The sequence below is a fragment of the Homo sapiens genome, chromosome 6 (assembly GCF_000001405.40).
Source record: "Homo sapiens chromosome 6, GRCh38.p14 Primary Assembly".
In the NCBI taxonomy this organism is placed as follows: Eukaryota; Metazoa; Chordata; class Mammalia; order Primates; family Hominidae; genus Homo; species Homo sapiens.
The window spans coordinates 144456102-144482867 of NC_000006.12; the positions used below are offsets into that span (position 1 = coordinate 144456102).

Genomic DNA, 26766 nt, shown 5'->3' on the forward strand with positions numbered 1-26766 from the left:
AAAATTTTTTTTAGGACAACAGTGGGAAGCTGAGAAATGGGGGAGCTGAACTGGATAAAGTCTGTGTGTTCCAGTTCAGTTAGGGAGGCATGTCAAATTCTTCAGTAAAACCCATATTTGAATAATCACGTCACTGTTTTTCTGAAACCAGTTCCATCAAAAAGCCCACCATAGCCAATTCTGATAGGTCTTTCCTGCCTAATGCATTTTACATAAGTTTTGAGGTATCTCATAGAGCATAGAAACAATTTTAGAAAATAAAATAGCGTGAGGCTGGGCGCAGTGGCTCACACCTGTAATCCCAGAACTTTGGGAGGCCGAGGTGGGTGGGTCACGAGGTCAGGAGATCAACACCATCCTGGGCAACATGGTGAAACCTCGTCTCTACTAAAAATACAAAAATTAGCTGGGCATGGTGGCACATGCCTGTAATCTCAGTTACTCAGGAGGCTGAGGCAGGAGAATCGCTTGAACCAGGGAGTCGGAGGTTGCAGTGAGCTGAGATTGCACCACTACACTCCAGCCTGGTGACAGAGCAAGACTCTGTCTCAAAATAATAATAATAATAATAATAATAATAATAATAATAATAATAAATAAAATAGTGTGTTTCATTTGACTTTCATAGCTGATATACTTGGTTTTCTTCGTTTAGCTTATCTTGTTCCTAGAGCTCTTCATCTAGTAAAATACAGTAGAGTAGTTGGGCATCTGGATAATGTGGCTTTATGAATCAATGCCCATTGTGGTTGCCTAAGCATATAAGCCCAGGAAGTTTGGTGAAGGTCCTATGTTTTGTAAACGTTTCCCTTGATTCCAATAGTGATAGACTGAGAAGTGTAAAGTCAAGTGAGACTGAGTGGCAGGAATGTGTTCTATGTTCTCCCTTTTAGACAATTAATAAAGTGATCTTCTGTTGATTTTGCCTTTTGACTAGTCACCTTCTAAGAACTCTGTGTTTTATAGAAATAGAAAATTTTAAACTCTGGATCTCTGGGAGTAAAACAACTATTTTTAAAGACAATGTGCAGTTTTCCTTTTATAAGATGTAAATTGTGTTTGAATCATTACCGGGCATCACTGTAACCAGCAATATCTCAGGATTAGAGAAAGGGAGATTCAGATGTTTAAAATTGGTTTAAAGAGGCAAAATGAATGGCTTGTAAGACATTGTCAGTGAAAAAATAACTGAAGTTGTTTTAACCGCCCTTGTTCTTGAAGTGAGCACCTCTTTCCAGTTTTCTAGATGAGTAGTGGTAATTTTCCATCTCAGAAATTTTATTTACCTACTTAATTTTCTTCCTTGATTAGTATGAATTGTCCAACATAAAGATGATGTGGCTGGTGTTACTATTCCTTTGCCTGCCTAGAATAGAAATGATGGGGCAGGGGCATGACCCATATCTCCATTGTTCATATTGTTAGGAAAATGGTGATTTGTTTTGTATACTCTCCCCATTAACAGGGGTAATGCAGCATGGCTTGTGGTGTGAATGCTTTGCTTATGTCTCATATTCTCTTACCTGAGAGATGGTGGTGAACAGTGAACTTCTGCAATTGACATAGGTGACACATTCAAATGACAGCATGATATGCCCTCATTTATGATTTTCAGTAGACACAGTGTATTATAAAAATTTTCAAAGTTGCATTGTCTGTGGATCATACATGACTTTTTGTTTTTATGCCTTTGTTTTTTAGTTCAAGCTCTCATTATCCTGGATTTTGATCATATATGTTTATAAAGCAGGATTGTTTTATTGCTTTCCTACTCAATAAAAATGTGAAGCCATCCTTTTGGTATGCATGTTTTCCTCCGAATAGAAAGATTCCTTTGAAGATTTCCCATACTTTTTCATAGTCATTTTAGAGGATTTGAAGGTATTTTAGATTAAGGGAAGGACTATGATAAAACCTATTATTATATATGACTTTATTATTTTTAGGAACATTCTCTACTTTTCAAAAATATCGGACAAATAAAATGATAAGATTTCAGTAATAAAAATGGTGGCATTGTTTTCCCTGATGTGTTTCTAAAGTAGATCATCTTATTGCTGCCTCAGTCTTTTGGTATTTGCTTATTTATGTGCAAGGTCTCCAGTGGGCTTGCTGATGCTTCTAGAGCCTGGCTGCTGGCTTAATATTCCTGCACTCACCAGGTTGCTTCCCAGCATAAGGCATCCTCGCCATTCATTTTTTAATTTATATGACACTGTGCTTTGGTCACCAAGACCTGAGCTGCCTCCTAGTTTTTCTAGCCAGCTTTCTTTTTTTCTTAGGACAAAGGGTCTTCTTTCTGAAGTCGGGCCTAGACAGATCAAGGTAGTTGATCTTATTTCACTGGTTCAGGTGATAAACTAGCAGAGTAGAAGCATGGCATGGATGGAAACATATATTATCTAGAAAAGGCAGTGGCTGAAGTTCTACTGATGTGCCTGAATCGTTATTTTAAAATGTCTTTCTTCTTTGTTCAAGGAATTGAAATAAACATCATTATTTTTAAGTGCATCATTATAAATTTTTGTTGTTGTATTAAAAGGGACTTAAGAAAGTGATCATTATGTGTGACATTGCCTCACTATTCTGAGTGTTAGAATGTTCAGAATAAATTCAAGACACATTTTGTAATATATAGACTGTTTGCTTGTTTTTCATGTCTGCATAGAAGGCCTTCCTACTGAAGAAATAAAAAATGTTCTGGAGAAGGTTTCATCAGAATGGAAGAATGTATCTCAACATTTGGAAGATCTAGAAAGAAAGATTCAGCTACAGGAAGATATAAATGCTTATTTCAAGCAGCTTGATGAGCTTGAAAAGGTCATCAAGACAAAGGAGGAGTGGGTAAAACACACTTCCATTTCTGAATCTTCCCGGCAGTCCTTGCCAAGCTTGAAGGATTCCTGTCAGGTAAGGAGCCAACGGTCTGGAAAGTGGAGGAATTCTATGTGCAGTTCCAGAGTTAAGGAGGGCTTCTCGTATCATGAACTTTAAGTTAATGCTGCCCTGATTAACTTCCTGTGAGGATGTTCATCTTCAGTGAGTTGTGTGACCGTATTTTCTCTTCCTTAGCGGGAATTGACAAATCTTCTTGGCCTTCACCCCAAAATTGAAATGGCTCGTGCAAGCTGCTCGGCCCTGATGTCTCAGCCTTCTGCCCCAGATTTTGTCCAGCGGGGCTTCGATAGCTTTCTGGGCCGCTACCAAGCTGTACAAGAGGCTGTAGAGGATCGTCAACAACATCTAGAGAATGGTAAACCCAACAATTTTAAAATCTCCTGTCTCAGTTTGCCTTAATGTAAACATGACTCCCAACATTTAGAACTTGAGTACACTTGCTTGCTTTGCACCAACCTTCTCCATTTTCCTTTGTGCCTGTATTGTTCAAAGTCTTAAAGTCTTCTGTATTCAGATTCTTTTCCAGATTCACACCTTTTTGTAAACATACAAGCAAGTTTCACATTCTCTAAAATTGTGTCAGTAGGATATAATAATAATTTTTTTTTTTGTAGCTACAGGATCTCACTCTGTCACCCAGGCTGGAGAGCAGTGGTGCAATCATAGCTGCAGTCTTGACCTCCTGGGTTTCAGTGGTCCTTCTGCCTCAGCCTACTGAGTAGCTGGGACTACAGGCATGCACCACCATGCCTGGCTGGTTTTTTATTTTTAGTAGAGCCAGGGTCTAGCTATGTTGCCCACGCTGGTCTAGAACTCCTGGGCTCAAGTGATCTTCCCACCTCAGCCTCCCAAAATAACAGGTGTAAGCCATTATAACAGGTGATATAACAGCCTCCCAAAATAACAGGTGTTAGGCAAAATAACAGATGTTAGCCTCCCAAAATACCAGGGATAACAGGTGTCAGCCATTGTACCTGACCTGGATATAATGATTTTTAAAGATTTTTTTTTTTTTTTTTTTTGAGAAACAGGTGCAATTTCTTCCTTTGGTTGAGGAGGCCACTTAATATCATTGCTAGGAGGATCAAAATGAATGATCCCTTACTTCTGTTTCCTCAAAATAGTTAAAGTTTTGGCAGTCTCATACTGTCTTTTAAAAGAAATCATATTCCACTGTCAGATTCAGAAAAATTTTAGAGTTCTTACTTTTGGAATACACTTGGTTTTGGAAGGTTCACTGTTAAAGATTTTGAAAGCTCATCCCTCCTACGTTACACTATTTACTTCCTAGCTGCCATTTGAGTTAGGAACTGTGTTGCATTGTGCATTATTTTGTGAAATGCATTGAGCATTGTGTGAAATGCTCCACATGTAACCCAGCCTAACTTCAGCAATTGTAGATTGTGTGATGACTGGAAGTGTCTGTATGTGTGCATGCTAGGCAAATGTGTCGTATTGCCTTTCTTCTGAAAGTGCATCTGGACAGCATGTCTTTGTTCCTTGAATTCAGTTATGTGAAATATGTCTTTGAGGGTACCTCTTTCTCCACTTATTGGTACAAGCTGTGCTTTCACTTTTGACAAGGATCAGTAGGCAGTTTAACTTTTGCTGCTAGTTGGTTTCACCTCTTTGTGCTTCAAGAGAACTCACTTCCTTTCCACGCAAGTGTTACTTCTGTGATATTTTTACATTAGTGACTGAGGTAGACACTGTTCCAGCTGGCTGTTCAGTCATTATTTCTCAGGGTACCTGGGCAGCATGGTGGCAGTATTTCCATATAATCTCCTCCACTCTGGACCTGGGTTTGTCTACACGGTGGAGCTTACAGCAAGACTGGTTGAAGGGATCTTTGTTTTCTTTTATTCTTTGTGTAGCTGTTAAGGAAGAGGAGATTATATGGAACAAAAGGGACATTGTTGTTCCATCTTCAGAGAGACATTTCATCATGAAGAAATGAAGAAAAATTATAGTGGGTTAGTTAATATTTCAAACGTCAACATCCGCAGGAATGAAGTCACTGTCTGACTCTCAGAAATGCCAATGGAATGATCTATGTTGTTAATTAACAGAGACCCTTTTACATTTTAATCATGGGGTCTCCTTTGCCATGTATTGGAATTCATTTAGGATAATGGTCTATGTAATAATATTGGTTCCTAATATGATTTTTTCAAACTAAATATTTTTAAATAAACAGAACTGAAGGGCCAACCTGGACATGCATATCTGGAAACATTGAAAACACTGAAAGATGTGCTAAATGATTCAGAAAATAAGGCCCAGGTGTCTCTGAATGTCCTTAATGATCTTGCCAAGGTGGAGAAGGCCCTGCAAGAAAAAAAGGTAACATATATCTTCCATGTTAGAACTCTAGCGCTTCTTCTAATATCTCCTCTTACATATTTTGAAATGTTTTTTCAGAGATTAAAAAAAAAGTTGGTCAGTTTTGTTCATCATTGGTGCAAAAATGTGTTTATGATTTGAGGGTTAGTTTGACCTCACATAAAAGAAAGTACAGTTATTAAAAATTTTTTCATAGAAGAAAAGCATATTTTCTCCTTCTGCTGTGATTAGCTTAAAATTCTCAACCTGTTCATAAAATCTGCTAAAATATCTTTATGAAATGAGGACTATCAGTTGACGTGTTGATGTATACTTTTTTCTGCATCGAATAGGAATGTTTCCGAGGTCATTTAGTTGAGTAGCCTTATGGCTCTGTGCTATTAGATGAAAAGGAGAGCAGCCATTGAGCACTGCACACTTGGCCCACACTGGGTTTGCTGTTCCCTTGGTTTTTAGGGTTGAGAATACACTGTATTGCCCACACACAACTCATGAAGAAAAAGCTTTAATTTTTATGATTATGCCTATTTTTTTCATGAGTTTTTCATGTTTTGTTTTGTTTTGTTTTTTGATTTCCAACTTTTATTTTAAGTTCAGGGGTACTTGTGCAGGATGTGCAGGTTTGTTAAATGGGTAAACGTGTGTCATGGTAGTTTGCTGCACTACGTATTAAGCCCAGCATCCATTAGCTCTTCTTCCTGATGCTTTCCCTCCCACCATGCCCCACCCTCCAACAGACCCCAGTGTGTGTTTTTCCCCACCATGTGTCCGTATGTTCTCATTATTCAGCTCCCACTTATAAGTGAGAATATGCGGTATTTTTTTTTGTTGTTTCTGAATTAGTTTGCCGAGGATAATGGCTTCCAGCTCCATCCATATACCTGCAAAGGACATGATCTTGTTCCTTTTTATGGCTGCATAGTATTCCATGGTTGATATGTACCACATTTTCTTTAAGTAGTCTATCATTGATGGGCATTTGGGTTGATTCCTTGTCCTTGCTATTGTGAATTGTGCTGCAATGAACATAGTGTGCATATATCTTTATAACAGAATGATTTGTATTCCTTTGGGTATATACCCAGTGAGATTGCTGGGTCAAATGGCATTTCTGGTTTTAGGTCTTTGAGGAATCACCACACTGTCTTCCACAGTGGTTGAACTAATTCACACTCCCACCCACTGTTCTTTTTAGATAAAAATGCTTTCTAATGCATTTTAAAGTGACTTTTGACTTTATATAGCCCATTTTACTATATCTGTGCAGACACATTTTTGTGCATATTTTTAATCTTTTAAAACTTTTTCCAGACCCTTGATGAAATCCTTGAGAATCAGAAACCTGCATTACATAAACTTGCAGAAGAAACAAAGGCTCTGGAGAAAAATGTTCATCCTGATGTAGAAAAATTATATAAGCAAGAATTTGATGATGTGCAAGGAAAGTGGAACAAGCTAAAGGTCTTGGTTTCCAAAGATCTACATTTGCTTGAGGAAATTGCTCTCACACTCAGAGCTTTTGAGGTAAATCCAGAGGCCACTGGGAGTTTAAGTTTATTACGGGGTAAATAGTAATTATCTTATAAGATTCACGTATTTATTATTTAAATATTTTACATTCTTTCTAGATCCCCATTTATTATGTATTTAAGTTGGGACTTATCAAAGATGTACTTTTAATGTGCTAGAGAGCACATTTATTTCCTTTTGCCTGGAAGCAAAGTCAAAAGTAGAGTAAACTGGACCTTGAAGATAAGAGAAAATTGCTTAAAAATGGTCAAAATAATGTTTCAGGCATGGAGGGCCTGTGTGAAATACAGACTGTTGATTAGATTATAGTAGTAACTTGGTTGGGGTGGTAGAAATAGCCCAGGTAGTAGTAAATTGCTGAATACATGAAACTACTTTTTGCAGGTTTTTGACATTTGAAGTCAAAAGTCAGAGATAGGCCATTGACAGTGTCAGAGTGGGAAGGCAAATCGTTCCAGGGACATGAAAATTCAGAAACAGGATCCTTCACTACACCTGAAAATGTTGACAGATGCAGCAGTGATAAAGTTTAAGAGGAAAGGATAAATGTGAGGATGTATAAGGAGAGAGTCAATGTCAATAGAAGTCAGTGTCAGATTTTAACATTCTGCCTGTGAGAAAGATGGAGAAGCAGAGTTTCCAGGTCACCTGGTATTTTAATAGGAAAGTTCTGGGTGGAGAATGAACCAATCACACTCTCTCCCTGCAAGGCTTCCTATCCTCCAGTGACTCCTTACCTTGGTCTTTTTTTTTTTTTTTCCCCATCAGTCAGGGATCTTTGTCTTTTTTAAATTTCTTATTCACCGATGTATGCCAAGATGTACTCATAACTAGAGCAATGCCTGGCACAGAGAAGGCATCCAATCAATATTTTTCAACGAATGAAATGAAATTAGCAATAGGAGATTTAGATTTGGATATATCTCTGTATATCTATCTATCTATATATATAGATAGATAGATTCTCTTGGAAGCTAAATCCAAATATGTGTAGATATATATCTATATATATAGGGAGATGTCTCTGTATATATGCATATACATCTTTATTTATATAGAGAGAATCTAAATCCGAATCTATATATATTTAGATGTAGATCCAAATATATGTAGATACAATATATATATCTACATATATTTGGATCTACATCTAAATATTATATCTACATATATTTGGATCTAGATCTAAATATATATAGATTTGGATTTAGATGCTAAGCAAATTTGCATAAGGAATATTGCCCCCAAAAAGTGAAAAGATTGAAAGCGAAGACAAAAATTAATGAAAATGTATGTTTTGAAAATCAAAGTCAGAGAACACGTGGTAGAAGAGGAGCTGGAAGACCTCACAGATTAGTGTGGAAGGGATCCAGCCAGATTCTCTGAGTGGACCACTGAATTTGGAGGGGCGTTCTTTGACTCAGGAACTAATGGGTAGTTCCAATGAATGATCAGCAGAAGATACAGATGGAGGGGTTGTGTGTGTGTGTGGGTAGCTGTGTGTGATGGTAGTGACAGGAGGTAGTTTTTCTCTAGGTGTAAGTGCAGTTCTAGATGGAGATCTCATTCAAATAAACCAGTAATTATGGAGAGAAATGTGTTTTGTGTGGCTTAGTGTTTTTGACTCATTTACTTTTTTTTTTTTGAGATGGAGTCTTGCTCTGTTGCCCCAGGCTGGAGTGCCATGGTGCAATCTTGGCTTACTGCAACTTCAGCCTCCCGGGTTCAAGCAGTTCTCCTGCCTCAGCCTCCTGATTAACTGGGACTACAGGCACATGCCACTATGCCCGGCTAAGGTTTTATTTTTAGTAGAGATGAGGTTTTACCATGTTGGCCAGGCTGGTCTCAAACTCCTGACCTCAGGTGATCCACCCTCCTCGGCCTCCCAAAATGCTAGGATTACAGACATGAGCCACCATGCCTGGCCCATTTTACTTTGCGATGGTCCCACTTCTCGTTGTGTATTATGAGTTGCAATTGTTCCCGGCTTTCAAAATGAGCATTGGCCTTTTCTATAATTCTAAAGTTTTTGGTTATGGTCCCAGCATTGTATTATCAGTGATTCTCAACCGGGGTGATTTTACCCTCCAGAGGATACTTGTTAATTTCTGGAAACATTTCTGTTGTCAGAACTGTGGGAGAAGACTTCCAGTGGGTAGAGGCCAGGGATGCAGCTAAACATCCCACCATGTACAGGACAGCCTCACAACAAAATAATCATCTGGCTCCAAATGTCACTAGTGCCAAAGTTTAGCAATGCCAGATGAAACATTCCCCATCTTTTCAAAAGATCATCCCTTTGTTTTCAGATTTAAGTCCAAAGTATAAATGGAGATTAACCTCAGAGTTAGTCTTCTTTTGACTCTTAAAAGTATATCTTAGGGTTAGCTAAATGTATGCTACTATTTCAATATGGAGCTTAAAGAGAATAAATATTCTCCCAAAATACAAAAGAGTCCTGTGGTTATAGTAATCCAGCTTTAAGCTTTGGTGGGTTGTTGCTATTAATGTAGCAAATCCAGGCACTAAAAGTGGTCACTTGGAAATATTTATTTCCATTAAAAATATCCAACATCAAGGGTGTGTGTCTGGATATGTAAGTGTTTGTTGTTACAGTAGCAGATTTGTAATGTCCAGTACTTTTTTTATTTGCTTCTTGTGTACTAACTGCAAGATTGTGGTTAAGGAATACAGTGTCTATATTTCTTAATTGTATAACTTCTTCATTGAAATACATGTTTTATCTTAAATTCAAAAGAAAACTCCTTTTTTTTGCTTTGTAGGAATTGCTGGTTACTTAACTACTCATGATTTACTTGGGAAAACTTTAAATTCCACACCCTCAAATTATTAGATAATTATAATAAATATTTATTTGCAGATTATCATTGTTTTCCCTTTTTCAATGACCTGATATATGATTTTTTAGGCATTTAATTATTTTTGTCTTTAAGGCATGAAGCACAGTAGGTTTTAGATTCAATGCCAATTCATAATAATGTTTTGTAGGAACAAAATAGTTAACTCGTTTATTTTTAAAATGCATTTTTCATTACATGAGTAGTACTTGAAGCCTACACATTGTGAAGAAATTGAATACCACAGAAATACTTACAGTGAACATTTAGAGTTCCTTTTCTTCCCCAATACCATTTTCTTTCCTGGGGGCAGCTAATATTAACAGTGGATCCTTGTACATACAAGTTAGACAAGAACAATTGACAAATATTGCTAATTCCAATCATTTTCCCCCACACTGTGGAAAGAAATGATATTGGAACTCTGTGAAGGACATTTAAATCCATAGTCCAGATAGAGTTTGGAAGTGAATCCCACTACTTAATAACATCTTTCATTGATACAGCACATTTAAACTTTGAAAGTGTTTTCATGGCCATGTGCTTGCTTTTTTCTGCTATCCTTCAATATTTGTAAGAGGCTGTTAGTTGTGTGCGAATTTCAGTTTTCTGTTATTTGTTGGCATTGCAGTGTTTTTCCTCATTTGCCTGCATTTCCTTTGTCTCCATAGCTGGTTCCTTTTGTGCATGTTGAGATTGGACCTACATATTTTTATTCATTGTGTTATGCCCAAATACATTCTTAAGTTCTTTTTATTTGTGCCATGCCAAAGCAATAACCTCCATTCCTGTACTTACGAGGTAAAATATTCATTGTTACTTTTTACAAACTACTATACCCCTTCCAGGTGACAAAACATTTGAAAATACATGAAATGGGTATTTCTTTTTTCCATTATTGATTTTACTGACTGGATTTTCATGTGAATCATGGGGATAACATATTATAAAATCCTAAGAGGCTGCTTATATATCTCTCCTCACCAGTAGTAATATCTTTGGATTTAGGGGCTGCAAAGTATTTCATATTACGTACTTCCTTTTCCTTATTCAAGAGCTCCTGCCCTATGTATAACTGGGAAATGAAAGATGTCCCCAAGGCACACACAAAACTGTCTTCTATTTTCCAGCGCTCCTGCCTTTTCAGGCTCCTCCTCCAGGCCCTTCCTTCTGGGTTCAGGCTCTCATGCAATCTCTTTCCCTGAAAATTTCATTACCCTTTAAATCTGATTCCCACTTCCTGTCTCTTCTCTCTGGAATTCATCTTTCACACCAATACCAGAGTTGTACTTCTGAAAGGATCTGGTTGTCTTCACCATTAATACAAATTAATACCAAGTGCCATTAATACAAAATGTCCCTTTCTTGCCCTGAAGCCCTCCCTGCATCTCCACTGTGAGCTGAGTCAGGTGGGGAGAATACGGTGGGTCACCAAAGACCATCCTAGACTATTGCCTTTCTCTGAAAATGTCATGTACTTGCTAGGAATTCACATCCCTCCTCCTCCTGTCTGCTCATCTGTCTTCAGCCCAGCTCATCACTACACCCATAGCTAGATAATCGTTCCCTCCTCTGTGATTCGACTGTGTGTCATTTACACCTTCACAATGACCCATCTCAGGCCGTCTTTTATTATGGTGAGAAATGTGTGTCTCTCTTCCCACGAGGCATGAGCTCTTTGAGGGTTGGATCCCTGTCAGGCATAGAGCAAGTTAGCAGATGTGAATGTAATTGATGTGTCCGGCCTCTCTAGTGAGAGTGGATTTATACAGTCTAAAGCCTGGTTATCCTAAGTGGCAGGACACCTGTGTAGTCATGCCTCTTCCTTCAACTGTTGAACAGTCAAAGGCACACATGAATGGACTTGCTCTGACCCGGAATCTGGAGGGGGGCGTGCTGGAGCTCCAACAGGCAGAACCAGGTTTTGAGAGTACTTTGGAAAGCATTTTAGGGTAAAAATGCAATACTTTCTAAGAGTAATATTAGTACGGATGATTTAACCCTTCTTAGGTAACATATAATTGATATAATTATCTCATAAGGGTTTGAGTTTTTTTTCTCATTTGTGAACACATTTTACTTTACTGAAGGGAATATTCATATATTCCCTTCCTTAGATTTAAGAACCTTATTAGTTTTTAATAAGTGTAGTAGCAGTGTCATTGTTTGTCTTCCCTACTAAGTGAGAGAGCACATTTTCAAGGTTGTGTTTTTGAGGTTATTGAGTATTATAAAGTGAAACAAAATAGGAACCTGGCTGCCTTAAATTACTGTTTTAATTCTGGCTTCACACTATTTTTTTTTTTTTCTGGTCTATGTCTTAAAAAGCTGTGGACATTCCGACAGATGGGGGAGGAGCAAAAGAAAATGCCAAGAATTTAGCTGTAATCAAGTCTCCAGAGGTAGTTGTGTACCTTGCAATCTTACTGTCTTAAATCCAGATTTACCAAGCTTTAAATTACCTCCATCCTTAGGTCACAGGATGGGGGATGGGAAATGAGGTGAGATAGGGTCAGAGGAATTGTTTTAATGACCTTGCTGTTCCTTGTCCGTGATCCCATAGCAGGTTGTTGCCCATCTGAAATGCTTAGAAATCATTGCTTTTGAGCAGTGATGGTCCATGTAGACTTTGACCCTTCCATACTAGAATATTTGATATTTTGATTTTCAAAAAATACTGTATTCGTAATTTTATATTCATTTGAATATTTGTGAGTAAAAATAGGTATGAGAAATGGCTGCCCCAGATTAGTACTTAGTTTATTTTTTTTTGCATGTGAAATAATGACATTTGCTTTAGAAATTTACTAACAGTTTTTATATTTCGTTTTGGTTTGTAAGAACTGAAGTCCCTTAAAGAAATGTGTGTGTGTGTGTGTGTGTGTGCATGCGTGTGTTCTGTAAGCAGATGGAGGTGAAGAAAAAAATCGTCATTATTGTAGATTAGAAGCTTGTAAGTGCATCAGCTGAGTAATTTTTAAATGGACAGAGAAACACTATTTTCATGTGAGCTCTTTGACGATCTTTGTAATCAACCTCTTTGTTGTGGTGGAATTGACTTAAAGATGAGCAGACTTTTGGTATGTTTGAAAAGCACAGGAAACATCTGCTACAGGTTGATTGTGACAATATTTTGCTCAGGGAAAGGGGAGATAAGATAGGGAGAGTGGAAGGCAGAGTAGAGCTCCCTGTCTTCTGCCTTCACCCATACAGGTACAGGTGGTAGGTAGCATTGATCTTTGGGACTTGATAACCCTTCCCGCGCGGTGTGCCACGAGGTGGAAACGCCGAGTGAATCTGCTGCTGCCAGGCACTTCTAAAGGATGGGCCTTTCCTTCTGTACCAATTCCTTCCCATGAGCTGTATTTGGCCAGGTCTAGCCAGATATATAAGCAGTAGCCATTTGAAACAGTTACTTTGAAACAGTTACAGGATAGAACAAGCATTAATGTTGGCAGCAATTAAAAAAGTGAAACCCATGCTTATGCAAACACATGCTCATCCTGGCTGTTCATTCCTGTGGTGCCTCTGATGGGACATAAACACCAAAACTTGGATGTGGTAACTCTTTTATGGTCTCAATCTTGGTCATAATAAAGCAGTTGGTTTTGTAGATCTTAGTATAATAATCGCTACCATTTAGTGCATTCTTCTATGTGGGAGTCTCTGTTTTTCAGAACAACCAGACAAGATAGTTGTTATGATTCCAGTTTCACAATGAGTTATTAAGGCTCAAAGAAAAATTAGTTTCTCAAGGCCCCATGGCTAGGCAGGTGCTGAGCTTGGTAGTCAGACCTCAGCATTTCTTTATATGGGCACACTGTCTCTTTTAGAGCACAGTGTGGTTAGAATTACATGCAGGATTTTTAGTAGTGAAAATATTATAGTGTGGCTTTACAGGTTCCCTTCTATTCCCTTTGTCACTTTTGGGATGATCCATTGGCCTACATGGCTTCTCTGTCTGTTTCTTTCCTTTTTTTTTTTAGTATTTATTGATCATTTTTGGGTGTTTCTCGGAGAGGGGGATTTGGCAGGGTCATAGGACAATAGTGGAGGGAAGGTCAGCAGATAAACATGTGAACAAAGGTCTCTGGTTTTCCTAGGCAGAGGGCCCTGCCGCCTTCCGCAGTGTTTGTGTCCCTGGGTACTTGAGATTAGGGAGTGGTGATGACTCTTAACGAGCATGCTGCCTTCAAGCATCTGTTTAACAAAGCACATCTTGCACCGCCCTTAATCCATTTAACCCTTAGTGGACACAGCACATGTTCCAGAGAGCACGGGGTTGGGGGCAAGGTTATAGACCAACAGCATCCCAAGGCAGAATAATTTTTCTTAGTACAGAACAAAATGGAGTCTCCTATGTCCACTTCCTTCCACACAAACACAGCAACAATCCGATCTCTCCTTCTTTTCCCCACACTTCCCCCCCTTCTATTCCACAAAACTGCCATCGTCATCATGGCCCGTTCTCAATGAGCTGTTGGGTACACCTCCCAGACGGGGTGGCGGCCGGGCAGAGGGGTTCCCCACTTCCCAGATGGGGTGGCCGGGCAGAGGCGCCCCCCACCTCCCAGACGGGGCGGCTGCCGGGCGGAGACGCTCCTCACTTCCCAGATGGGGTGGCTGCCGGGCGGAGGGGCTCCTCACTTACCAGATGGGGTGGCTGCTGGGCGGAGGGGCTCCTCAGTTCCCAGACGGGGTCGCGGCCGGGCAGAGGCGCTCCTCACATCCCAGATAGGGCGGCGGGGCAGAGACGCTCCCCACATCCCAGATGATGGGCGGCCAGGCAGAGATGCTCCTCACTTCCTAGACAGGATGACGGCCGGGAAGAGGCGCTCCTCACTTCCCAGACTGGGCGGCCGGGCAGAGACGCTCCTCACTTCTTAGACGGGGTGGCGGCCGGGCAGAGGCTGCAATCTCGGCACTTTGGGAGGCCAAAGCAGGCGGCTGGGAGGTGGAGGTTGTAGCGAGCCGAGATCACGCCACTGCACTCCAGCCTGGGCAACATTGAGCACTGAGTGAGTGAGACTCCGTCTGCAATCCCGGTACCTCGGGAGGCCGAGGCTGGCAGATCACTCTCGGTCAGGAACTGGAGACCAGCCCGGCCAACACGGCGAAACCCCGTCTCCACCAAAAAATACAAAAACCAGTCAGGCGTGGCGGCGCGCACCTGCGATCCCAGGCACTCGGCAGGCTGAGGCAGGAGAATCAGGCAGGGAGGTTGCATTGAGCCGAGATGGCGGCAGGACAGTCCAGCCTTGGCTCGGCATCAGAGGGAGACCGTGCAAAGGGGAGAGGGAGACGAGGGAGGGGGAGAGGGAGGGGGAGAGGGAGGGGGAGGGGGCGAGGGAGGGGGAGGGGGAGAGGGAGAGGGAGAGGGATCTGTTTCTTTTCTCTTTCTTTTTTTCTCATGTCAGAGGGAGAGAAGGAACAGATACATGTGAATTGCATGTGCCCTGATGGGTCTGCGTGTATTAGAGAGAGGGTGGGAAGGAGGGAGGAGGGAAGGCTGTTGAGGCCATAAAACTTCCTCATATGCCAGTGACTGGAGTAGTTAAGGCCACTTACTCAAGTCAAAGCCAATTGTGGTTAAAACTTCCTTGAAATATAATGCTTCCATATAAATTTTGAAAATTTTGGCTGAGGAGACTATCAGTTTTCCTTATTCAAACTAGAGTTAATGAATTTCCCAGTTATACAGCAGTAATGCATTCTTTAAAAGTGCAGAATGGAGATTAGCAGTGCAAGAATCTGTGGTGACAAGTTAAACGGAGAATTTTTAAAGTCATTTTATGAACTCTGTGAATGTATTCACACTTTCTCTCTTTTTGCACTTCTGTCTTTTTTGGATGCCCCACTCTACCCGTCCTGAGCATGTCTTCCCAAGAAGCCTTCTATGCTAAGACCTTGAAATGCTGGAGCAAACACAGAAGTGACCTGTAACCAACTGAAAATATATAAGGGTAGCATGGACCTGTGGGAATAGTGTCAGACAGGCTGGAGAAGAGAGGAGGAAGCAGCTTGGGGAAAGTGTGCAATGGAACTGAAAGGCTTTCAAAGCTGTGCCAAGAATAAACGAGATGCAGAAGTGCTTAGACAGGATGGTATAATATTAATGGAAGACACAGAGAAACCTAGCTAGATAAGCACTTTTTACTTGCCATCTTCATCAGAGAATGGCCTTCAAAACTACAAAGTATAGAATAGTCATTACTGAGAGTGCTTTAGAGCCTGAACTTAGGACCACAAGCAAAACCACTCAGAGCTCCTCCAGATGCATAAATCTACATCCCAAGTGGGATTTTTACCCTTGATCTCAGGGTCATTTACGTCATAATCTTGTGAGAAATTACCAGAAAAATGGAGATGGAGGAATGTCCTAATTAAGAGGAAACATTAGTTTTTAGAAGCAGAAGATATAAAGTAAGTTTGATGTCAGTTCCTAGCCAAACTGTAAGATAAATAACCGACTAGAGATCTTATATGTGCTTAGGAAAGAATGTCGTGGTCACCAGGAATCAACATGGATACCAATAATAGGCCTTGCCCAGACTCATTTCCTTTAAGTACTACTTTCTTTTCTTTTTTTTTTTTTTTGGAGGAGGAAGCCTAGATTATTAGATACACAGAGTGATAACATCTCACATTTGAAGATGCTCTCTCATTTAGTTCAAATAATGCTCACAAATGAACATTCTTGGCAAGTCTTGATTTCACCAAAGTATTTGAGATAATCTCTGATAACCTTATATAAACTAGTTAGATCTTTGTGATCAATTCAAACATTATAAGGATCAGAATAGTTGGTTCTGGGTGGCATATTTTAAGGACATTAAAAATTGATGTAGTTTCCAGAGCGTGTTGATCAGAGTAGTGAGCAATACCTAAATATCATGTCCTACAGACATCATGGAAGGAATTGGGAACATGTAATCAGTAGAAGACCAGAGAAAAACATGGCAGTTGCCCACCTATGGAAAGAAATGACAATGATTTTGGTATTGGAGCTCAAAAGCTAAAATTGCATCTACTTACTTGCATTTTTTTTTTTTTTTTGAGACAGAGTCTTGCTCTGTCGCCAGGCTGGAGTGTAGTGGTGCCATCTTGGCTCACTGCAACCTCTGCTTCCCAGTTTCAAGCTATTCTCCTGCCTAAGCCACCCCGAGTAGCTGGGACTACAGGTGCCCCACCACGCCCCCAGCTAATTTTTGTATTTTTAATAGAGACGGGGTTTCACCTTGTTGGCCAGGATGGTCTTGATCTCTTGACCTCGTGATCCGTAGCCTGGGCCTCCTAAAGTGCTGGGATTACAAGCGTGAGCCACCGTACCTGGCCCTTATTTGCATTCTTTAAGGCCTGGTTCCAATGTTACCTTCTCTCTAAAGTCTCTTTCTCTTTGCAAAATGTTTGCTTTCACATTTGTCTTTGAACCCCTATCGCCATACACAGTAGCTGGATTTTATATATATAGTAGGTGCTTAATAAATGTTGGATGAAATATTGGAGCTGAACGGGGACTGTCTTGAGTTCTCAGATAAAAAGGCATCCAAAAGCAGAAATGAGAACCATCTATTGTATTCCCTCTACCGTGCTATTTGTTTATTCCTGCTCTGAGTTACTAACTTTAGAGAAAAATTGTTCTAAATTATATCAGAGCAAAATATTTTATAGCTGATAAAACCTAGAAATGCATTTTTTCCCTGTAATTTGCATTTTAAATCATAACTATTGCTTGCATTTAAGCAAAAAGAGCTAGCGTTTGGAAATTTTTAGAGTGGTTACTAACCTGTCATCTCTTGAGGATTTTAGTCAAGAATGAAGAAAATAATCATTTTCAAATTTGGAAGGTTTAGAAAAAGAAATAACATAAATGAAAGCGATGCTATCGGAGCTTTAAAAAGTTCCTTTGTTCCAGTGGCGGTAGATCTTGAGATGTAGTAGGCTGAACGTCACGAAGTAATATCCCCCTCTGTTATCATGTTCGATTAGGCCGATTCAACAGTCATTGAGAAGTGGATGGATGGCGTGAAAGACTTCTTAATGAAACAGCAGGCTGCCCAAGGAGACGACGCAGGTCTACAGAGGCAGTTAGACCAGTGCTCTGTGAGTTCTGCTGATCTGGGGAACTTGTCATAAATAACATTTTGTTCTTTTTCTATGTTATTTGCTGCTATTATTAAAATTGTGAGAATATAGCATAGCATTACATCTAGATAAAATATCTTTCATCATAAAGCTTTTATGACTTTATAGCTAATAAAAGAATGACAGATTCTTCAAGTTTTTATTTCTGGACGTGGTTATAGAATTTTGAGAGGTTATAGAATAGAGAACAAGAACAATTTTGGTTCATTAGGAGTCATTGTATATTGCATTTCTTGTGCCACATGGTGAGGATTTAAGAAAAACATATTTAACAAATGAATTTGAGAAGTGTCTGTTCATCAAATTCATTTAAGTATGTTTTTCTTAAATCCTCACCATGTGGCACAAGAAAAGCAATATACAATGACTCCATGTTGTGCACGTGTACCCTAGAACTTAAAGTGTTAAAAAAACAAAAAACAAGAAATGAATTTGCTAGTAATAGTGCATGCAGTTTATATTTGGTGAAATCATCAGGCTTCTCTACATTAATTAAAAGGCTATTCCCTTCTGAGAGTCAAGTATTTCCAGTCTAATTTGGCAGATGGCTATATCAAGCACCCAGGTGAAATGAGTTTCTTAAGGCACAATATTTCTTAAGTAGTTAGAAGTACTGACTCTTAAGCAGTCTGCTTGTGTAATATTTGCAGGGAGATAAGCAGACAAACTATAATTATGGCATCCACTTATATAGTAATGAACTCAACATGCATCTTTTATGTGTTTAGGCATTTGTTAATGAAATAGAAACAATTGAATCATCTCTGAAAAACATGAAGGAAATAGAGACTAATCTTCGAAGTGGTCCAGTTGCTGGAATAAAAACTTGGGTGCAGACAAGACTAGGTGACTACCAAACTCAACTGGAGAAACTTAGCAAGGAGGTGAGTTTTTCAACTTTACTACCTACGGTTTTCAGGAGATGTAGACTGTAGCTTCTCTCAGCTGACTAAATGTATTATGACCCATCCAGTTTGAAAAACGATGGTCTAGAATAACTCCAGCATGGGTAGTGAGCTGGGGCCAAAAAAAAAGGCATCATTTTTTAAATTAAGAGAGGGTGCTGATTGTCCAGTTTGGCTCAGGGCTTATCCATTCTTGTCTTAAATCTGGCTTGAAACACATTTATGACACTTGCTTTACCCCTAAGACATTTGAGTGGGACCATTTATTTACTTAGCAAATATTTCTTAATCAGTTGCCACCTGTCAAGCATCATTCTAGGCACTGCAGGTACAGCATTGAACAAGGAAGAAGAAACTCCTCTTAAGGAGCTTACATTCTAGTGAGGCAGATGGATAATGAATAATATCATGGAGGAGTAGCAAGGAGTTAGGGCTAGGTGGGTTATTTCAAATAGGATGGTCAGGGAAGGACTTTCTGAGATGGGGATGTTTGAATAAAGAACTGAGTAAAGTAAGAGATGAGCCTTGTAAGGTTCAGATAAGAACATTCAGGCGTGGAGAATAGCAGGCTTTAAAACTCTGTGGTGGGAATGAACTTGGTCTGTTTAATAAAGAATGAAGGCAGTGTAGCTGGAATAAAACAGAGAGGAGTTAGTGAGTTGGAGAATGGGAATATTTGAGGTTAGAGGTAGGCAGAGGATGGATTAGCTATGGCCTTGGAGGAAAGGACTTGGGATTTATTTCAAGTATGATATTACACAGAAAGCAATTGGAAGGTTTTGAACAGGGAAGTGACATGTGATATAGATCTTTTAAGGTCACTCTGGCTTTTTGTTTTGTTTCCTTTTTTTTAGCAACAGTATCTTGTTGTATCACCCAGGCTGGAGTGCAGTGGCACAATCCTAGCTTACTGCAGCCTTGAACTCCTGGGCTCAAGCAGTCCTCCTGCCTCCTGGGTAGCTGGAACTATAGATGTTCACCACTATGCCTAGATAATTTTAGAAATATTTTTGAGCCAGATGCAGTGGTGCATGCTTGTAATCCCAGTACTTTGGGAGGCTGAGGTGGGTGGATTGCCTGAGCTCAGGAGTTTGAGACCAGCCTGGGCAACATGGCAAAACCTTATCTCTATAAAAAATACAAAAATTAGCCGGGCATGGTGGTGTGCGCCTATAGTCCCAGCTACTTAGGAGGCTGAGGTGGGAGGATGGCTTGAGCCCAGGGGATGGAGGTTGCAGTGAGCTGAGACTGCACCACTGCACTCCAGCCTGGGCGAAAGAGCCAGATCCTGTCTTAAAAAAAAAACAAAAATTGTAGAGATGGGGTTCTTAGAGGCTGAGGCAAAAGGATGGCTTGAGGTCAGCAGTTTGAGACCAGATGCCAGTCTGGTCAGATGCTGCTGACCTCAAGCAATCCTCCTGCCTCAGCCTCCCAAAGCGTGGAGATCACAGGCATGGGCCATTGCACTCGGCCTCTCTCTGGTTTTCATGTGAATAGTTTGCTCTGGGAAGGCAGGAATGAAAACAGAAAGAATTCTTATAAGGTTACTGCAGGCTTGGAGAGAGAGGATGGACCCATACACTAGGGAGGCTTAACGAAGTAGTGATGGAGGGCATGAGAAATATTAGGTTTGAAAATAAAGAAGAGACCTAAGGAAAGAATTGGATGTGTGATAGAAGAAAAAGTGAATGGTCAAGGATGACTCAGGATTTTTACAAAGCTTCCACTTTGTGTGAATTGTGGTGTCATTTACTGCAATAACGAAGGAGAAGCTTCTGTGGGTGTAGGTGAAATGATGACTACCATTCTGGAAGGGTTAAATTTGATGCTAGAAGCTAAGGAGGAAAAATCAGTAACGGGGAATGTGGGGTCCCAAATGCTAGGTGGAGAAAACTTTTCACAGGGCCTAATGCTGAGGATTGCAGGGGCCAATCAAAACAGAAAATCGAGCTTTAAATTTGATAAGAAGGAGGCATTTAATAACCTTGAGAAAGCAGGGTCAATGAACTGGTGGGAAAAAAGTCATAGTGGATAGTTCGAGGAGGGTATGGGAACTGAGGAGCTGGGACACCAAGCATAACCAACTTTGAGAAATTTCTGTCTTCAGGGGAGCAGAGAAATGGGTGGGTGCTGGTGATGGGAATCCAAAGAGGTGGTTTTGTTATTTTTAATAATGAGAGATATTAAATGAGAGATATTAATAAGAGGACCTCACTTTAGAAAAAAAATGATGGTGCAGAAAGAGATTGAGATAGGAGAATTTATCAAGTGAAGTCTGTGATTATGCGAGGATGAGATCCACCGTCTAAGTGAAGATGTTGCTAGAGATATGGTTTCTCCGTGGTAATGGAAGGGAGGAAATGATATGGGAACAGTAGAACTGGGAGGTATTCTTTCCCAATTGCTTTGATTTTTATTAGTGGAATAATAGTGAGGCTATATATAGCTGAAGTGAGTGACAAAGCAGTGAAAAATAGAAGTCAATATGAAATATAGGCTTACCCCACAGTCACGTAAATAGTACGTATTTCTTAATAAAATGCTTTTGGCTAATGTTTGTATCAGAAAAATTTATATTTGCATAACTGAATATTTTGCTTTGTGTTTATTGTTTTACCCAACTTATTTTGAACATGTTCAAATGTAAAGAAAAGTTAAAGAATGATAAAAAGGAACAGCTGTATATCCATCCATTCAGAGACTTGCTAATGTTTTACCACATTTGCTTTCTCTCTCTCTGCCTTTCTCTTTATACACACACACACACACACACACACACACGCACACACCCTTTTTTTTTGGTACTTTTGAACAGTAAGTTGAAAACATCATGACACTTCACCCCTAAATACTCTAGCATGATTTTCCAAGCATGAAGGCATTCTTCTGCAAAACCACAATACTATGATCACACTTAAGAAACTAATAATGTTATACTCTCATCTCTTATCCTAGCTAAATTCAAATTTTTCTCAATGTGCTATAATCTGATGGCATGTGCCTTAAGGAACTGGGGTTTTTGAGGAAATAGAAAATGGTTTGGAAGTGGCAATGAGGATCAAGGAAGGTGATAATTAGAAGTTTGTATCTCTATCTATCTATCTATCTATCTATCTATCTATCTATCTATCCATCCATCCACATACATATGGTGACAAATAATTCATTGTGAATTACTGATTCAAAATACAGGAATAAATATATGGGAAATTTAAAGTGTCCTCAGGAAGGAGGTAACCACATGTGTGAATAATTATCTAGAGCATTTCCAGACTATTGCATTGCATTGACTAGTACAAATGTTGAAGTAGTTTTGGACAAACATAATTTTGCCAAATTTTCATTTTGCTAAAAAGAACAGGCATATAAAACAAATCAACAAACAAAGATAGTCTATTTCATCTATTATATTCATGATATCCTGAAAAAAAGGAACATTTTAATGCCAAAAAATAGAAAGTATATATTCTCAGGATAATTAAAGATAATTTTGAGGGTGTTTTGTTGTTGTTAAGCTTATGGTAGTGTCTTTATTTTCTTCATTTCTTTTTGGATCTGTGAAAATTATATTGCTGACTAGTGTTCAAGAAGTACACATACAGAGAATTTTCTGGAAATGGGGCCCAAGAATCTCTGTCTCTCTCTTTCTCTTTCTGTGTGTGTGCATGTATTTTTATGAAAAGCTGACCAGGTTAACCTGATGATCAGCCAGGCTTGGGAATGGGATTGTGAGTGTTGCTGGCATCAGCTCCTTGGTTACCCTGTGGGGACAGTGGAAGAAAAGCTCTTGTTTGGTCCTGTCTATTTTTATGCCGGAGATCCTGTTTGGAGGGAGGGACTGGGAAAGCCTCTGTCTCTTGCTTAACTCTAACTTCTGTGAGAACCATCCAGCTCCTGTGCTGGCCTTTGGTTACTATCCACCTAGCAGCCAAGCAGGCCCTGGCAGGGTGGCCACTACTGTGGCGTTTAATTTGAGCATGAGGCTGAACCTGCCAAGTAGAGGTTGGACTGTGACTGCAGAACGGCGCCTTCTCTCACAGTAGAAGTCAGTTTGTCGTTATGGGGAGGAGTGCTCTGAAAATATTTCTAGACTTCTCCAAAATTTTTAACTAAGTTACTGAATCAGAATCAGACAACTATCTATTTTTTACTGTAACTTTTTTGTGTCTGTGTGGCATATACAAACATAGTAGACATCAAAACCAAAATTTTATAGAGCGGTGTCTTATGACATCTTTAATAGCAGCCTCTCCCTCCCTGCTTTTTAAAAGTGAAATCTTAATGGGAAGTGCAGTTAAAAAGAAGAAAATGGACATTTTGATTGCTTCTAGGGGTTTTTTTTTTTTTTTTTTTTTTGAGACAGAGTCTCGCTCTGTTCCCTGGGTTAGAGTGCAGTGGTGCGATCTCGGCTCACTGCAACCTCTGCCACCCAGGTTCAGGCAATTCTCCCGCCTCTACCTCCCAAGTAGCTGGGACTACAGGCATGCACCACCATGCCTGGTTAGTTTTTGTATTTTTAGTAGAGATGGGGTTTTGCCATGTTGGCCATGCTGATCTCAAACTCCTGACCTCAGGTGATCCCCCTGCCGTGGCCTCCCAAAGTGCTGGGATTACAGGTGTGAGCCACCAAGACTGACTGGCTTCTAGATTTTTTGTTTTTGCTTTCTTTTTTCTTTTTTCCATTATAAGTAGTGCTACATTAAATTTACTTCATATATGTGCTTTTACTGTTATAGATTAGATTCCTACATCTGGGATTACAGTCAACAGTTATGCATTGTCAAAATTATAATAGCTATTTCGAGATAAGAGTATTATCCAAATGTGGTGTGGAATCCCAGTCTTAAGATTATTTTCATTACTGCTTATATTCCACAGCGTTAGCATGAGATGTATGAGATTTTATCTGAATTTTAAAGCATGCAATTCGTTGTGGAAAGTTATTACTGTGCCTTTAAATATTAAGAGCTAAAACTTGACATTGAACACATTAACATTTGTTTATTTGGGGGAATGGCTTTTCCTTTGTAGATCGCTACTCAAAAAAGTAGGTTGTCTGAAAGTCAAGAAAAAGCTGCGAACCTGAAGAAAGACTTGGCAGAGATGCAGGAATGGATGACCCAGGCCGAGGAAGAATATTTGGAGCGGGATTTTGAGTACAAGTCACCAGAAGAGCTTGAGAGTGCTGTGGAAGAGATGAAGGTGAGGCGGGGACGACCAGTGCCAACAGGCTTCATGCCTCCCTCCTCCCTTTAAAACCAGCACATCAATCATCTGTCTATCTGTCAAACACTATGTGCATGTAGCATCTTTCACAGTAGGTTTTTGAATTAAAAAAACATAACAGGGTAGCTGCTCTAATTTTAGCAGGGGAAGAAAGCCAGGAGTCCACATATTTGGCTTGGCCCATGAGTTGAGTCCATGAGGGCCCATGAGACAAGCTCTTAAGTTAGACCTTTGGGAGGCTACAGAGAATGACTTAAAAACCTCTGGTAGTGGGCATGAGGAAGAATGATCATTTTTTTTTAATTGGGGTAAATACATATAACATTGGTCAGCTTAATTTTTAAGTGCACAATCCAGTGGCATTAATTGCATTCATCACTATTTCCAAACATTTTCACAAAGAGTTATTTTTTGTAAGGGGAACAAAAGAGACCTCCCAAGTTGTCTGAGGTTTATTCTTATTTTCCTGTTACTAATCTTCCAGTTAATACATACGGCACATATGAACACTGACGTTTCATTAGAGCAGGTAGGAATAGCGGTAGGAATGCATCGGGGAGTTCATATTAGTTGGATCCACTGGATACATTTCCTGTAAACTTGTACTCCTCTGTCGATAGTCTTGAACACTCTCTTTTTATATATAATAAAAGAACTGGGCATCATTCCCAAATTTCTAACACAGCTTCAACTGTCCTTGAATGTTCAAGCCAAAGGAGATGGTGTTTTCAAAGCTTTTTTTTCCTGTAAGCTTAAGCAACACAGTGACTAATGTTTTACCTCAAAGTTAACTTACCTAGAAGTGTAACTAAAGCAAAAATCTGTGATTTTTTTCAAAAAAGGGATTATATGACATTCATACATTATTATACATGAATCAAAGTAAATATGACAGGAGACTTGTTGGAAGTTGTTTTTTCACTAAAACATCTTTTTTAGTGTAGCTCTTTTTGAAAGATTTAAAAATACTCAGTACATAAGGTATTTTAAAATAGGCTACCATGTTAAGAATTGTCTCATTTATTGTCTTTCTTTACACTATTGGCATTGTAGTTCTGTGGATTTTAAAAGTTGCTATAGATGAGATTTGAGAAAAATGATATTTAAATATTTGATTGGGCAACATTTTATTTATTTTTATTCTTTCAAACAGCCATTAGGACTTACAAAACCACTACACTTAATTACTTTCCCCCAATCTAAGGAAGTTCAAAACCATTAAGTAGTAGAGAAAAGTAAAGGGGAAAGTGAAAGACTGTTTTATTTGTATTTATTGCCATTAAAAGTAATGGCATAAACTGCAATTACTTTTGCACCAACCTGATAGGTTGATTTTCCTGAATGTCAGATTGTTTATCTTAGCACTGAGAAACAGCTATTTCTGGATCAGATCATCTCAGTCTAACTTTATCATTGAAATGCTATTAATTAGCAGAAGGATACATGTGCCTATGTTCTATAATTTTTTAAAAAGCTTAAATTATTTAGAGAACTTTTAAAGATACTTCTACCATAGTGTACCTCAATTTTTGTGAAAATATATTTATCACAGTGTAATCTGCTCAGCCCTCCAGTGATAATGAAAATTCACTCACTTAAATTCTGATCTTGGACCCAGACTTTGAAAATACTTCATGTCAGTAAACATACTTTGGATAACTTACGTTAACACTGCTGTTATGAAATGAAAACATTTGTGGGAGCTGAGTACATTGGATGCATGAGTGAAATTTCAGAGTTAGCATTCTTATTTCAAAAACGCTCAACTGGGCTGGGTGCAGTGGCTCACGCCTCTAATCCCAGCACTTTGGGAGGCCAAGGTGGGTGGATCACCTCAGGTCAGGAGTTTGAGACCAGCCCCGCCAACATGGCGAAGCCTCATCTCGACTAAAAAATATGAAAATTAGGTAGGCATAGTGGTGGGTGCCTGTAATCACAGCTTCTCGGGAGGCTGAGGCAGGAGAATTTCTTGAACTGGGAGGCAGAGGTTGTAGTGAACAAGACTCTATCTCAAAAACAAAAACAAAAACAAAACCCCACAAAGAACCATTCACTGTTACCTAAATAATGTTCTATTTTGGCAGTTAGAATCATCCAGATGTTTTAACTTTGGTTTAATTCTTGAAAAAAAAAGAAAGAAAAGAAATTGGTTACTGAGAAAGGGAGACGTTTTTCAAGTTCATCCATCCTTTCTTGGAACAGAGGGCAAAAGAGGATGTGTTGCAGAAGGAGGTGAGAGTGAAGATTCTCAAGGACAACATCAAGTTATTAGCTGCCAAGGTGCCCTCTGGTGGCCAGGAGTTGACGTCTGAGCTGAATGTTGTGCTGGAGAATTACCAACTTCTTTGTAATAGAATTCGAGGAAAGTGCCACACGCTAGAGGTATGCTATTATTATTATTGTTGTTATTATTATTATTATTATTATTATTATTATTTTCAGTGATGTATTTCTGAGATCCAAACTCTGTAATGTTTTGGCCATTTTCAAATCTTGGAGAAAACTTCTCTTTTCTTTCAAATTCTGGATTATAAAGAAAAAATAGTTCTTGGGAAATAGTTTGATAAAAATGAAAGAGGGGTTAAAAACAGGAGACCAAAATCTGTCCCTAATTATCAGAAGGTTCTTGGGCAAGTCATTTTGTATATTCAAACTTTACTTTTTTTATAGGTGCAATCCAGGTTTTCATGTAACAGATGATCTGTAGGGCCTATTCCAGTCCAAAAATTGCAGAGCACATTTCAAGCCTCTCTTTTGTTTTGTTTTGCCTGGTTGAGTACATAGAGAGGAATTATTTTCTTTTGAGTGGTGTCTAAAGTTCAAGAGTCACCTGAAGGAAAAATAGAACTTAAATATGTGAC

The 26766-nt window shown here is 39.3% G+C and overlaps 1 protein-coding gene across 1 annotated transcript in view, besides 4 other annotated features; it reads left to right on the plus strand.

The window, feature by feature from the left end:
* UTRN (utrophin) overlaps window positions 1–26766 on the plus strand; it is a 567700-nt gene that overhangs the window by 170767 nt on the left and 370167 nt on the right. Inside the window, exons 20-27 of the mRNA NM_007124.3 lie at window positions 2669–2910; window positions 3073–3253; window positions 5096–5241; window positions 6553–6765; window positions 17619–17732; window positions 18503–18658; window positions 23711–23881; window positions 26108–26287. Coding sequence (NP_009055.2) covers window positions 2669–2910; window positions 3073–3253; window positions 5096–5241; window positions 6553–6765; window positions 17619–17732; window positions 18503–18658; window positions 23711–23881; window positions 26108–26287 — 1403 coding nt within the window. The remainder of the gene's footprint in view (window positions 1–2668; window positions 2911–3072; window positions 3254–5095; window positions 5242–6552; window positions 6766–17618; window positions 17733–18502; window positions 18659–23710; window positions 23882–26107; window positions 26288–26766) is intronic.
* Window positions 3492–3695: a silencer, noted in NCBI's record as "fragment chr6:144780729-144780932 (GRCh37/hg19 assembly coordinates)". NCBI's record gives its function as "represses an EF-1alpha promoter that drives an FKBP-Casp9 reporter gene in an ReSE screen in K562 erythroleukemia cells {active_cell/tissue: K562}" and the evidence as "EXISTENCE:reporter gene assay evidence [ECO:0000049][PMID:32094911]".
* Window positions 4592–4691: an enhancer, noted in NCBI's record as "active region_25221". NCBI's record gives its function as "activates an Ori minimal core promoter by ATAC-STARR-seq in GM12878 lymphoblastoid cells {active_cell/tissue: GM12878}" and the evidence as "EXISTENCE:reporter gene assay evidence [ECO:0000049][PMID:35858748]".
* Window positions 13531–14207: an enhancer, noted in NCBI's record as "NANOG-H3K27ac hESC enhancer chr6:144790768-144791444 (GRCh37/hg19 assembly coordinates)". NCBI's record gives its function as "activates a minimal SCP1, AML or CMV promoter by ChIP-STARR-seq in naive H9 embryonic stem cells {active_cell/tissue: H9 hESC(naive)}" and the evidence as "EXISTENCE:reporter gene assay evidence [ECO:0000049][PMID:30033119]".
* Window positions 16904–18103: an enhancer, noted in NCBI's record as "P300/CBP strongly-dependent group 1 enhancer chr6:144794141-144795340 (GRCh37/hg19 assembly coordinates)". NCBI's record gives its function as "activates an origin of replication core promoter dependent on BRD2, BRD4, P300/CBP, MED14 and CDK7 cofactors, with strong dependence on P300/CBP, by STARR-seq in HCT116 cells {active_cell/tissue: HCT116}" and the evidence as "EXISTENCE:reporter gene assay evidence [ECO:0000049][PMID:35650434]".